Source organism: Homo sapiens, chromosome 12 (genome assembly GCF_000001405.40).
Source record: "Homo sapiens chromosome 12, GRCh38.p14 Primary Assembly".
Taxonomy (NCBI): domain Eukaryota; kingdom Metazoa; phylum Chordata; class Mammalia; order Primates; family Hominidae; genus Homo; species Homo sapiens.
This window is the reverse complement of record NC_000012.12, coordinates 68,606,069-68,619,474: the sequence shown is the minus strand read 5'-3', so window position 1 is coordinate 68,619,474 and position 13,406 is coordinate 68,606,069. Positions and strand designations below refer to the sequence as shown.

Sequence of the window (13,406 nt, the reverse complement as noted above, 5' to 3'; positions counted from 1 at the left end):
AAAGATTTCTTACCCATGTATGATTTTTATAATACTATGCATTGATCATTTGGAAATACTGACTCAGTTATGCAGATAATCAAATAATGACAGATTTCATTATATACTTACAGCAGCTGATACAAGCTTTCTAAAATTTTTGCTTAAAATCTAGGAACTTTATCATCGACCATAAATACTACCACTATTTTCCCTAAAGCAAAGCCTCACTGTTTTCAAGAAAATGTCAGCCTAATGCCCAAGTCTGGCATTCTTTTAAGCAAAAATGGCATTATATGAAGATTGATTCAGCGTGTGACTCAATCACACAAATACTTTCCCTAGAAACAACCATTATATTTCAGTATGCTGCCAAGTGTTTTTGTTTTGTTTTTCGAGACAGGGTCTTGCTCTGTCACCCAGGTTGAAGCGCAGTGGCACGATCACAGCTAACTGCAGCCTCCAACTCCTGGGCTCAAGAGATCCTTCCACCTCAGCCTCCAGAGTAGCTGTAGATGTGCATGACCACACTAACTTTTTTTTTTTTAATAGGAGAGACAGGCTCTCACTACATTGCCCAAGCTGGACTTAGCCTCCCAAAGTGCTGGGAGGCTTGCTGTCCATGGCCTCGCCAGTGTTTTAAGCATACTTCCCATTTTGTTACAGTATATTAAAGATGTGTACAAAGGTAGAGATTTAGTTTAAAATTTTTTTACTTCTTCATCAAGAGCATTTAGGTGAAACTTAAAAAAAAATCTGAGTGCATGGCAGTGAATAATACAATGATTACTAGGACAGTGAAGTACTCTAACCTGGTTTATTCTAAAGCGCCAGAAGTTTTATCCACCACTGTTTTTATACTACAGGTACAAATGTCACTACAAAGAAAACGGCAAAGAATGTCTCAGTATTATAAAAATAGTTTTGCACTTGTAGACTCGCCAAAAATGTCTAGGGGACCTCCAGGATTCCTTGGACCATACCTTGAAAATACTGATCTAGGTAATTCATTTGTTACACTAATCAAAACTCACAATTATTTATTAGTCCTTATTCATACTTTAATGGGATTCTTAAGCAATGCCATAGGAGAATAAAAGCTTTATAGGGCCAGGCAAGGTGGCTCACGCCTGCAATCCCAGCACTTTGGGAGGCCGAGGCGGGCAGATCACAAGGTGAGGAGTTCGAGACCAGCCTGGCCAATATGGTGAAGCCCCGTCTCTAAGAAAAATACAAAAAAAATTAGCCAGGCGTGGTGGCGCATGCCTGTAATCCCAGCTACTCGAGAGGCTGAGGCAGGTGAATTGCTTGAACCTGGGAGCAGAGGTTGCACTGAGCGAAGATTGTGCCACTGCATTCTAGCCTGGGCGACAGACTCCACCTCAAAAAAAAAAAAAAAAAAAAAAAAAGCTTTATAGAACAAGAACTAATACAGCTGGGTATGGTGGCTCATGCCTGTAATCCTAGCAGTTTGGGAGGTGGAGGCGGGCAGATTACTTGAGCTCAGGAGTTCAGACCAGCATGGGCAACATGGTGAGACCCCGTCTCTACAAAAAATACAAAAATTAGCTGGGCATGGTGGCATGCGCCTGTAGGCCCAGCTACTTGGGGAGCTGAGGCTGGAGAATGGCTTGAATCTGGGAGGTTGAAGCTGCAGTGAGCCAAGTTTGTGCCACTGCACTCCAGCCTGGGTGACAGAGTGAGGCTGTCAAAAAAAAAAATAGTACATTACTGTATTATTTTATGGTTTATGAAACATTCATGAGTAATACTGCATTTGATCCTCAACAACTCTAACAACAGTATGTCATCATTCTCACTGAGGAGGCAAGGAGGTTGGAAAGCTTCAGAAGGAAAGTACACATTTTGCTTTAAAAAAGTCATTGTAGTGATGGCATTACGGATGATACTCATTTTCTTCTTTATACTTTTCTATATTTTAAACATTGGTAAGAACGTCAAAAAGACATATTTGAACTCAGCCAATCTTATAAATACAAATCAGTACACTATCTCAAGTTTGTTAATTTCAAGAGCAGTAGGAGAAAACAACAGATAACATATGTTATATATCTCATCCTATCCCTCAATTCAAGATTCCAGAGGAATTCCTGCATTTTGCTATTGTATTGAGAAGCTTGTGGATAACTTAGAAGCATCAGCCACAAATATGTTGGCACAATGTAGTAATAGGATTCCACATTCTAACTGCAACTTTAAAACACAAGGTAACAAACAGCTGGATGCAACATACATACCTTTTGGCGCATAAAAACTAAGTAAAAATAGATTATATATATAGTCCTTATTTTATTGATACCCTTTCAGTTCTATTAACTGAGAACTTAGAAAGTCCCTGAATTTAGTATAAAGTAACTTTGAAAAATATATTCTAATGTGAGGATAAATTTTAGAATACACAGATAATTATAATTTCATTTTACCCAGCATTTTCCATTTCCTTTCCAGAAGCTTTCACCAAAAATTGCTACTAAATAGACAAAACATGTTTCCTTTCATCTTTTTCCCTTCCTACAAGGCAAAGAAAAAGGAAACAGGTAGAGGCAATCCACCACTTCGGCAATCAGTTCACTGTATATTTTTAAAATAAAGTTACTTAGTGAAATGCTGGGCCAGGCACAGTGGCTCATGCCTATAATCCCAGCACTTGGGAGGCCAAGATGGGCAGATCCCTTGAGCCCACGAGTTTGAGGTGAGCTTGGGCAACATGGCGAAACGTCTCTACAAAAAATACAAAACCTGGCCGGGCGCGGTGGCTCATGCCTGTAATCCCAGCACTTTGGGAGGCCAAGCCAGGTGGATCACCTGAGGTCAGGAATTCGAGACCAGCCTGACCAATATGGTGAAATCCCCTCTCTACTAAAAATACAAAACTTAGCTGGGTGCGGTGGTGTGCGCCTGTAGTACTAGCTAAGGCAGGAGATCTGCTTGAACCTGGAGGCGGAGGTTGCAGTGAGCTGAGATTGCACCACTGCACTCCAGCCTGGGGGACAGAGAGAGACTCCGTCTCAAAAAAAAAAAAAAAAAAAAAAAAAATTAGCCAGGCACAGTATTCCCAGCTACTCGGGAGGCTTAGACTGGAGGACTGCTTGACCCCTGGAGGCGGAGGCTGTGGTGAACTGAGATCGTGCCACTGCACTCCAGCCTGACTGACAGAGCGAGACTCTGTCTCAAAAAAAACAAAAAACAAAACAACAACAACAAAAAAACAAAGGCCGGGCACAGTGGCTCACGCCTGTAATCCCAGCACTTTGGGAGGCCGAGGCAGGTGGATCTCGAGGTCAGGAGATCCAGACCATCCTGGCTAACACAGTGAAACCCCGTCTCTACTAAAACACAAAAAATTAGCCAGGTGTGGTGGCGGGCGCCTGTAGTCTCAGCTACTCGGGAGGCTGAGGCAGGTGAATGGCGTGAACCCTGGAGGCGGAGCTTGCAGTGAGCGGAGACCGTGCCACTGCACTCCAGCCTGGGCGACAGAGTGGGACTCCATCTCAAAAAAAAAAAAAATCCAAATTATTTACTAGAGTTTTTAATGGATGCTCACTTCCTTTATTCAGTCTATCTGCACAACAGTTAAAAACATTCAATCCCCCAGTACCGGAAAAAAAATCACAAGTTATGAAACCAGAATTCAGCTAAAATTTAAAAGGTCTCACTGATATATGTATATGTGTGTGTGTATGTATGTGTATATATATACACATGTATAACTACAAAAACATAAAGTAAAAGTAATTACAAGTAAGCTTTAGGAAATGGTTTGATATAAAACTCAAACTCACAAGATTAAATAATTACTCTCTATGGTCAGAGAGACAGATTTGTAACTCAAAAGAACATTTCTAGTATGCAGGCACCTCATACACAATCTAAGTAATTTTTTTTTTTTTGACAGTCTCACTCTGTCGCCCAGGTTGGAGTGCAGTGGAGCGATCTTGGCTCACTGCAACCTCCGCCTCCCAGGTTCAAGCGATTCTCCTGCCTCAGTCTCCCAAGCAGCTCGGATTACAGGCACCTCCCACTACGCCCAGGTAATTTTTTGTATTTTGAATTGTATACTGATATCACAGAATATACTCCTCCTGTACAATAAAAATCAGATGGAAATTCTGTAACTCATGTTGTAAATATTTTTATTTTAGGGAATTTAAATTAAAAAAAACTGGTACATTTCCCCCACATTTTCATTTTTTCCTGTTTTAAGGTTCTTTGGAAAGTTTTAAAAATTTTGACCCTCTACTGATTCAAAGGAAAAAAAATCTTTCTAAATTACTGCTTAAATAATCAGTTGCTACTGTACCCTTGATTTGACCAACATTAGGAATAAATAGTCCAATGTTATGAAATACGGAATGTAAGTGATACTATTTTTTGTTGCTGGTGAATTTTAAAAAGTGATGTTTTTAAGGCAGCACAAAAGTTCCTGATAACTTTTCTTGTTTAAAATAGAAACTCTCCACGACCAAAGAGACTTGTTTTAGAATCCAGTGCTCAACTGGGTTCAAAGTACAACAGATTACATACAAATCAGTTTTTACTGCAAATGGATAAATTCATCTATTCTTTGTAGCTACTGCTTCCACTGTGCTTATGAGATTTACAAAGAACTTAAGACCTCAAATGGCAATTAGTACCTTTCAATACCATTGCAAAATAATCTATGAACACAGAAAAACACTAGCTTCCAGAGCCATGGTACAGTACTCCTGTTTACAGATGGCTGAACTAAAAATTTTGTCCAATGTTACAATGAATCACTGCATCAGCCAAAATGTCTTAACTTGTTCTAAAATTCAATTCAATTTGAAAAGGCTAACAAAAACTTCAGCCTAATCTCTTAGACCATGGAGTCCTCAATAATGACAGGAGGGGGAAGAAAACCCAGGGCATATTTTTAGTCACAACCTATGTCTCAGAAAGTTTAAGACAGACCAATCTTTACCTAACTTTTCTATAGAGTGAACACGTGACATCACTGCTATAAAACAGCAGTAAATAGCTAATTCATAAATGCTAAATTACTCCTAGTGCCAGTCAAATCTAGAAACTGCAGATCAATACCCAACCTCCTCTTTAGCAACACAAACATACAGAGAAACACAGTTATTTTACATCTTTAAGGAAATGAGGCAAATCAGTAAGATCTGTGTGATAGTCGATAATAAAACAGCCTATTTAAACAATACTTATGGGGAAAAAGTAAATGGACACCTTGTAAAATCGGTCAAATTCTCTGTATCAGATCCAATTTCAGATTAGTTTCACTACCTCAATAAATATTTATCGAGTACCTACAACAAAAGGCAAAAAAAACCTGAACGTGAGCTTTTCATCCAAATCTTGGACTGCATTTAAAATAACATGTCTAATCAGTTACCATGTTATCAATCTTTGCATAGACCTTCCACCAATCTTGAATTAGATAGGAAGATACAATTGAAAGGATCCTTACAAAAATGGATCTAGTTATTTTAATAATTAATTCTTTGCTATACCCTCCTTACATGGTAGCTCTTTATTATGGGAGGGGGTCACTTTACCTTTATACAGCTAAGAGAAAATATTGGAATTCTGAAAAGGATTGAGGATAAAACGAAAATTAATTTGTCAAGTAAAAGGGATTCCAAAGCCAATATGTAAATGTTTCTTTTTAAAGGATTACACTGTTCTCTTCAAATATCCTCTCTTTGAATGTTCATTACCATTAATCCCTAAATTCAAACGCTAACCATTACACTGTGCCCAGGCAACGCGCTACACTGTGCCCAGGCAACGCGCTAGGAAGATTACTGTGAAGAATGAAATGGATTAAGTCCCTACCCTCATGGTACTTACATTTAACTGGTGTTGAATGTCTATTGCAAGGCACCATGCCAGTGCGTTAAGGCATACAAAACAATATATATCTTGTGGTTGGAGTTCACAATTCAATGGAATAAATAATATAAAATGGTAACAGGAGGCAGGAAGTAATGCGTGTCATAGAAGGTAAGAGAGATGACTTTCACGCGGTCGTGGGTGAGGGGAGAATGTAAAAGAGAGCAGAGCAATCATTTTCTTATCTCCTTTTTTTTTTTTTTTTTTTAAGACAGGTCTAGCTCTGTCACCCAGGCTGCAGTACAGTAGTGCAGTCTCGGCTCACTGCACCCTCCGCCTCCCAGGTTCAAGCTGGTTCATTCAATGTGAACCTCCCAGGTTCATATTCTCGTGCCTCAGCCTCCCGAATAGCTGGGATTGCAGGCGCGTGCCACTACACCCGGCTATGTTTTGTATTTTTAGTAAAGACGGGGTTTCACCATGTTGCCCAGGCTGTTCTCGAACTCTTCACCTCAAATGATCCGCCTTCCTCGGCTCGGCCTCCCAAAGTGCTGGGATTACAGGCGTAAACCACCACGCCCAGCCAGAGCAATCATTTTCATGCCCCATACAACATTTTAAAATTAAGTCAGTTTAGCATTGGTTCTTCAGTTATATTTTGATACCTGGCATATTAAAAACAACAAACTGGCTACATGTGTTCCAATGATTTACTTTAGGACTTCCTTAGATAAGGCAGCTTCACGATTTATTGTCAACGTCAAACAAGGAAATGCAAGTGAAAACACCTAACGTAGTACACATTAAAAGCACAGATGAGCTCAAATAAGACTAAAGGAAATGCAAGTGAAAACACCTAACGTAGTACACATTAAAAGCACAGATGAGCTCAAATAAGACTATCATTCAGGCTCTGTGTGCTTAAAGTTATTTAATCTGAGTATCAGTTTCCTCACCTAAAACCTGAGGATGAAACTACTCAAGTGGTTTTTTCTCCTATTTGACTAAGGTACCCACTTTTTAAAAGTGCGATATGGGAAGAATATTCTTTGTAAGATGATAATTCACTATAAAAACGTTGTATTTCTTTCTCCATGTTGTCTCTTACGGATAGACTACTGTCCTAAAGGTCAGTGGACCCACTAACTGGTTATCTTATCTAGGCCTCAGTTTCCTCCTCCATAAAATGACAGGGTGGGACTGGATGATCTAAATAGTCCCTTCCGGCCCTTAAAAAGTCCCATGACTCCACTATGACTCAATAAATACTATTTCAAGAGTCAGCTTTTAAGAATAATATGGGCTTGAAGTTAAATGAATGTCTCCCTTTTCTATAAGTTACTTTTTGTTAAGATAAGGTCTTGTTGAGCAAGTCCAAACAGTATTCTAATTACGAAAAAAGAGAGCTGAAAAATAAATTTACAAGTCAGAGCTTTAAATTGTTAAGTACTCGACATATATGAGATGCTGCCTGCAAAACCAAAATCCAATTAGACGGAATTAATTTTAAAATACTAAAATCACAATCTTCATTTAGTGTCAACTTTCTACCCCGTAAAAATGTGATTTCCCCTTACTGCAACACAGAACTGCTTCTATTCATACCAATCAGAAGTTACAGGGCCAAAATGTTTTTCTAAACTATTAAAGAGAGTGGGAGAGGGGGGAAAGCGAAGGGGAAGGAAACCATCTGCTTTAACTTGCAAAAATGATCTTTTCTCCAAAAGACATCAGTGTTTTTCAGAAGAAAAATCCGGAGAGCCCGGTTCACTGGGCGTAGTTTTAAATAAAATTCATGGCGCTGATAGTTTTAGGATTAGACACCTCGAGATGGCGAAAAAGAGAAGAGGACAAACTTCCTGGATTTTCTCTCCCTCTAAGAGAAAGAGATTTCCTCTTGCTGACGAAGGGAAAGGCCCCTTTAACAGTTTTTCTCTACACGGTGGCTGCTGCCAGACTAAGTGGGGCTCTCTCCGCTGCCTTCCTCCTGCCACTTCCCGCAACAAATGGAGCAAGCAAGCCCCGTTTCAGGCAAACTTTTTCGCTGTCAGGCTCAAGCCCGCGGGGCGCCTGGGAGTGGTTTCCCCCGAAGGCTCCTCGCCCTAGCTCGGGGCTGGGAGAAGCTAGGTCTTCGCAAAGGACAACTTTCTGGTTTCCGTTCTAACTTCCACCCATACCACGGAGGGAACCCAGGCGACAAGCGAGGGGGCTCGGGGCGGGGAGCGAGTCTTCGGGGGAGCCGGCGGGGAAAGGAGGGCGGCGGGAGAAGCTGCGGCGGACGCGGGCTGAAGAGAGCGGGCGGGTGGGGGGGTCCTCGGGCTCTCACTTCCTCCGCCATATTTCAGACATTTGACCCCTTCCGCAAAGCGCGCTGTTCTCCCGCGGCGGCGGCGGCTGCTCCTCCTCGCCGGCCCGCAAGGCAGCGCGCTCGCGGGCCCGGCGCCTGGCCCTCGCGCCACCTGCCGCGCGCCGAGGGGCTGCCGCCGCCGGGGCCCCTGACCGCCGCGCCCGGCCCGCGCCTCGCCGCACCCCACCCGCTCCCCTCAGCCGGCGCCCGGCCCCGCGCGGCCGCCGCCGCGGCTTCCCTCAGCGGCCACGCACTCACTCTGCGAACCTCTCACGCTGTCACCGGGTCCCTGCAGCCAGCGTCGCCCCGCGCTCCCCCCGGGTCGCTACTCTAGGCGCCACGGCGGTCCTGCCGCTGCCGCGCCGCTCCGGCTGGTTTACACGCCTGAATCTGGGCGAGGTTTGGCGATGTCGCCTTGACGTCAGGCGTTCAGCCTCGCTCCAGCTTCCGCCCGCGGGCGGGGCGCGCGGGTGCGCGGCCCGGGAAGGGGCGGGCCTAGGGGGCGGGGCGAGGGGAGCCGAGGGGGCGGGGCCGCCGCGCGCCGGGTCCTCGGCGCCGGCCTCTAGCCGGCCTGCATCGCAGCCGGAGCGCAGGCCCTGCCCACGGGCCCCTTAGCTGCCTCTGGGCGGCATGTCTGCCGAGGTTCTTCTCTCTAGCTGCGCCGCGCCTTCAGGCTCGCTTCCCCAGGCTGTCTGGTGGGCGGAATCCGCGCGTCGGTGTTCCTGACCCTCGTGGGTTCCAGTGGAACCCTCCGAAACCCAAAAGGCGCCGCCTCTTAATGCAAACTGTAGTCACCGACTCGTCCAGTCTGTTGGTATTCGCGTCGTCCTTTGTGCTGGGCAAAGTAACCGAGAAGTAACGGAGAGCGCGCATTTTCTACACCTAGAGCTCCCCGAGGGAGCCTGGGCCAGCAAGTCTTTCCATTCTTGAGATGCCTTTTCTCCTGGATTGACAAGTGTTTTATCCATTGGTGTCTTAACCCGGGCGAACTCTTTCCAAATTCCCATGCCAAACGCAGTTAACAAATCGATGATTTCTAAATAAGTTTGTACCCTGCACCTAAACCAACGCCATTTATATAACTAAAATAAATTGCGTATTTAAATGCATGTCCTGGACGCTTTATTCACTTCACAGGATTACCCATAGGCAAGTAGGTTTATCGTGTGACTTCAGGGCACCAGAAAACACTTTCTGTTCCAAAATGCCTCGTTCCAAAAAGGGCGGGAACTTAACACGGGAATTTACCATTCTTACTTACCCTTAGTACAAGAAATTTATCAGAACTTTTTCTTGAAGCAGTTTTGATGGGCGAGGAGATTAAGAGAGCAAAGTGCAGGGAAAAGGGATTGAGGGGTCATTTAAGACTAACTTTCTTGGTTCATAATTTAATTAGGCCCTGTACAAATTATTCTTGAAATAAATCTTAATAAACGTTGATAAATTTGGAAGATAAATGGAATGTGACTAATTTCACTCCGTTTAAGAATATGTAGTGATTGAAAACTAAGCTAACCTAAGTTAAATGAATAGATGAGAATGAATTATAACAGTTCTCTGTGTTTTATAATGTTTTACAATTTAGGTTAATTGAGTAGATTACCTATTTCGATAATTTCTATTTCCTTAGAAAAATATCTTTTTAAAAATTGTTTATTGTCTGCATTTATTGTGTATACAACATGATCGTTTGAAGTAATGTATACATTGTTACATTACCTCACAGAGTTACCTTTTTTTTTGAGAGTCTTGCTCTGTCACCCAGGCTAGAGTGCAGTGGCATGATCTCGGCTCACTGGAATTTCTGCTTCTCAGGTTCAAGAGATTCTCCTGTCTCAGCCTCCCGAGTAGCTGGGATGACGGGCGCGTGCCACCACGCCCAGCTAATTTTTAGTAGAAAGGGGATTTCGCCATGTTGGCCAGGCTGGTCTCGAATTCCTGACCTCAGGTGATGCGCTCGCCTGGGCCCCCCAAAGTGCTGGGATTACAGGCGTGACTCACCGCGCCGGCTGAGTTAGCATTTTTTTTTTCTTTTTTGAGACAGAGTTTCGCTCTTGTTGCCCAGGCTGGAAGGCAATGGCGTGATCTCGGCTCACTGCAACCTCCGCCCCCACCTCCCACCCTCGGGTTCAAGCGATTCTCCTGCCTCAGCCTCCCGACTAGCTGGGATTACAGGCATGCGCCACCACGCCCGGCTAATTTTGTATTTTTAGTAGAGACGGGGTTTCTCCATGTTGGTCAGGCTGGTCTGGAACTCCCGACCTCAGGTGATCCGCCCGCCTGGGCCTCCCGAAGTGCTGGGATTACATGCGTGAGCCACCGCGCCTGGCCTTGAGTTAGCATTTTTTTATGAGAACACTTAACATCCATTCTTTAGAAAACCTTTTTAAATAAAAGTTTCAAAGGCAAATTTCAGAGCAGTCCGTTGGAATTACTGTAACTTCTCAATGAATGAGTGAATTACAAATAAATTTGACTTTACTAACTTTTCAGTTATTGCATAAAAATTTGATAACTGAAAGTCTGAAACTTTGAGCTCACAGAAGTGTTACCTGGGAACACTGTGCTTTTTCTTTCTTTCTTTTTTTAGAAAAACTCTTTGTCCTTTGGGCAATTGATTTTTTTTTTCCAGAAAGAAATTGGTTTTAGAAAATTGAAGCTAGAATTTTTAGAGTTTGAGAGAACGTGTAAAATAATCTATTTAATTAAAAACACAGTTTCTCTTATTAGACTGGAAATCATTGTTATTTGTATTAAACTGTTATCACTATGCAGAGAATACCATAATCTGCATCTCTTAACACTGAACTCACTTTTCAGTTTGAGCCTCTTTCCTATTTATTTCCTTGACTTCTTCTCCAGGATATTCCACTGGCAATTTGCACTGGTCATGTGTGCAAACTGAACTCATCGTCTTTGTAACCAAACCAGTTTCTTTTCCTCTTCCTTTGTGAATTGTATCACCATCTTTTAAATTACCCAATCTTCAAGCCTGATACTTAGCTCTCTGCTCTTCTTGAATAATCCATCAATTGGCATATCTATTAGATAGTAATTCGACAAGGTCTTTCATTGTGTTTCCTCTTTTCCATTTCAACTAAGACCATACTTAGTTTTTAGTTGCCAAATTTAGTTTGGCAGAACTCATCCCCTGGACCTTTGCAGCCTGGTGGCCTCCAGTCTGTTCCTGCTGTGATCCATTCTATACATTGTTGCCAGATGATTATCTTAAAGCATACCAAGCAAGTCACTCCCTTCCTCAAAGAGCCTTCAATTACTCCCCACTCTACCAAAATAAAATTAAAATCCTGTGTCTCACTTTTTCCTTTCACTCAAAACTGATTTATAGTCAGAATGGACAGTGGACTTTTCATCTGGCCCACATAATTTGCTTCCCCATCTCTCTGTTGTGCATAGGTGAATGATTTCCTCTGCCTGGAATGCCCCTTCCCATTCCATCTCATTCTGCAAATACCTTGCCCATTATTCAAGGTTTATCTACTTTCTCTTAAGAATGAGCTTCTTGGCCAGGCGCGGTAGCCTATAATCCCAGCACTTTGGAAGGCAGAGGCGGGCGGATCACTTGAGGCCAGGAGTTCAAGACCAGGCTGGCCAACATGGTGAAACCCCATCTCTACTAAAAATACAAAAATTAGCTGGGCATGGTGGCACATGCCTGTAATCCCAGCTACTCGGGAGGTTGAGGGAGAAGAACTGCTTGAACTGGGACCCGGGAGGCGGAGGTTACAGTGAGCAGAGATCGCACCACTGCACCCCAGCCTGGGCTACAGAGTGAGACTCCGTCTCAAAAAAAAAAAAAAAAAAAAAGAGCTTCTTTTCTGATACTTCTAACCTTATGTATTCTCTTCTCTTTAGAATCCCTGAAACATTTTATTGCTGCTTTTCTTTGTCACTTGTGTTTGACCTTCCTGTGAATAGGGATTTGCAAACTTTTTCTGTCAAGGGCCAGAGAGTAAATATTTTAGACTTTGTGGGCCAGACAGATGGTCTCTGTTGCAACCACTCAACTCTACAGTTGTGGGACAAAAGCAGCCATAGATAATACATAAAGAATAGACCTGACTGTATTCTAATAAAACTTTATTTATGGACACTAAAATTTGAATTTCAAGTAATTTTAACGTGTCACGAAATGTTCTTTTTTTTTTTTTTTCTTTTAGCCATTTAAAAATGTGAAAATCGGCTAAGTGTGGTGGCTCACGCCTGTAATCCCAGCGCTTTGGGAGGCTGAGGTGGGAGGATCACTTGAACCTCAAGAGCTGGAGACCAGCCTGGGCAACATAGTAACAAGTAAGACCTTGTTTCTACAAAAATAATTTAAAATTAGCCAGGTGTGGTGGCACATGCCTGTTGTCCCAGCTACTTGGGAGGCTGAGGTGGGAGGATGGCTTAAGCCCAAGTCGAGTTTGAAGTTACAGTGAGCTATGATCATGCCACTACACTCCAGCTCTGGTGACAGAGCAAGACCCTGTCTCAAAAAGAAAAGAAAAGAAATGTCAAAATTGTTCTTAGCTTATAGGTGCACAAAAACAGGGGCGGCCTGGATTTGGCCAGTAGGCCATAGTTTGCTGAGCCCTGTACTCAGGGCCAGCTTCACAGGCATATGACTCATGCATGCAGTTGTACAGAGCCCTGTACTTAGAAGGGTTCCATGATTGGTTTAATGCTCTAATGTCACTATCTTGATTTTTTGTTTGTTTTTGAGACGGAGTCTTGCTCTGTTGCCCAGGCTGGAGTGCAGAGGTGCGATCTCGGCTCACTGCAACCTCTGCCTCCCGGGTTCAAGCGATTCTCCTGCCTCAGCCTCCCTAGTAGCTGGGATTACAGGCGCCCACCACCATGCCTGGCTAATGTTTTGTATTTTTAGTAGAGACAGGGTTTTACCATGTTGGCCAGTCTGGTCTCGAACTCCTGGCCTCAAGTGATCCGCCCGCCTCAGCCTCCCAAAGTGCTGGGAGTACAGGAGTGAGCCACCGCGCCTGGCCATCTTGATGTTTTAAATAATTTTTTAAATAAGAAGCTTGAATTTCCATTTTGTACTGGGTCCCATAAATTATGTAACTGGTCCTGCCTATACTAGAAGATAAAATCCAGATCAGAATGTGTATGTGTGTATGTATATTTCCTACAAGATCAGGATTTCCCTCCTCTCCTCTCCTCCCTTCCCCTCCCCTGCCCTCCCCCCCCCCCCCGCCGCCGTCTCCCCTCTCCTCTCCTCTCC

General features: G+C 43.4%; 1 protein-coding gene across 6 annotated transcripts in view, besides 2 other annotated features; it reads right to left on the bottom strand.

Moving 5' to 3' along the window:
• RAP1B (RAP1B, member of RAS oncogene family) overlaps positions 1 to 8,576 on the bottom strand; it is a 61,003-nt gene extending 52,427 nt beyond the window's left edge. For 4 of the 6 annotated variants that reach the window (NM_001010942.3, NM_001251922.2, NM_001251921.2 and 1 more), the window contains exon 1: positions 8,432 to 8,576. The gene's annotated coding sequence lies outside the window, so the exon portion shown is untranslated. Of the gene's footprint in view, positions 1 to 8,422 lie in introns of all 6 variants that reach the window. The other 2 variants (NM_015646.6, NM_001251917.2) reach the window with 1 other exon arrangement.
• Positions 3,017 to 3,788: an enhancer, noted in NCBI's record as "H3K4me1 hESC enhancer chr12:69009467-69010238 (GRCh37/hg19 assembly coordinates)". NCBI's record gives its function as "activates a minimal SCP1, AML or CMV promoter by ChIP-STARR-seq in primed H9 embryonic stem cells {active_cell/tissue: H9 hESC(primed)}" and the evidence as "EXISTENCE:reporter gene assay evidence [ECO:0000049][PMID:30033119]".
• Positions 8,260 to 8,719: a silencer, noted in NCBI's record as "silent region_4647". NCBI's record gives its function as "represses an Ori minimal core promoter by ATAC-STARR-seq in GM12878 lymphoblastoid cells {active_cell/tissue: GM12878}" and the evidence as "EXISTENCE:reporter gene assay evidence [ECO:0000049][PMID:35858748]".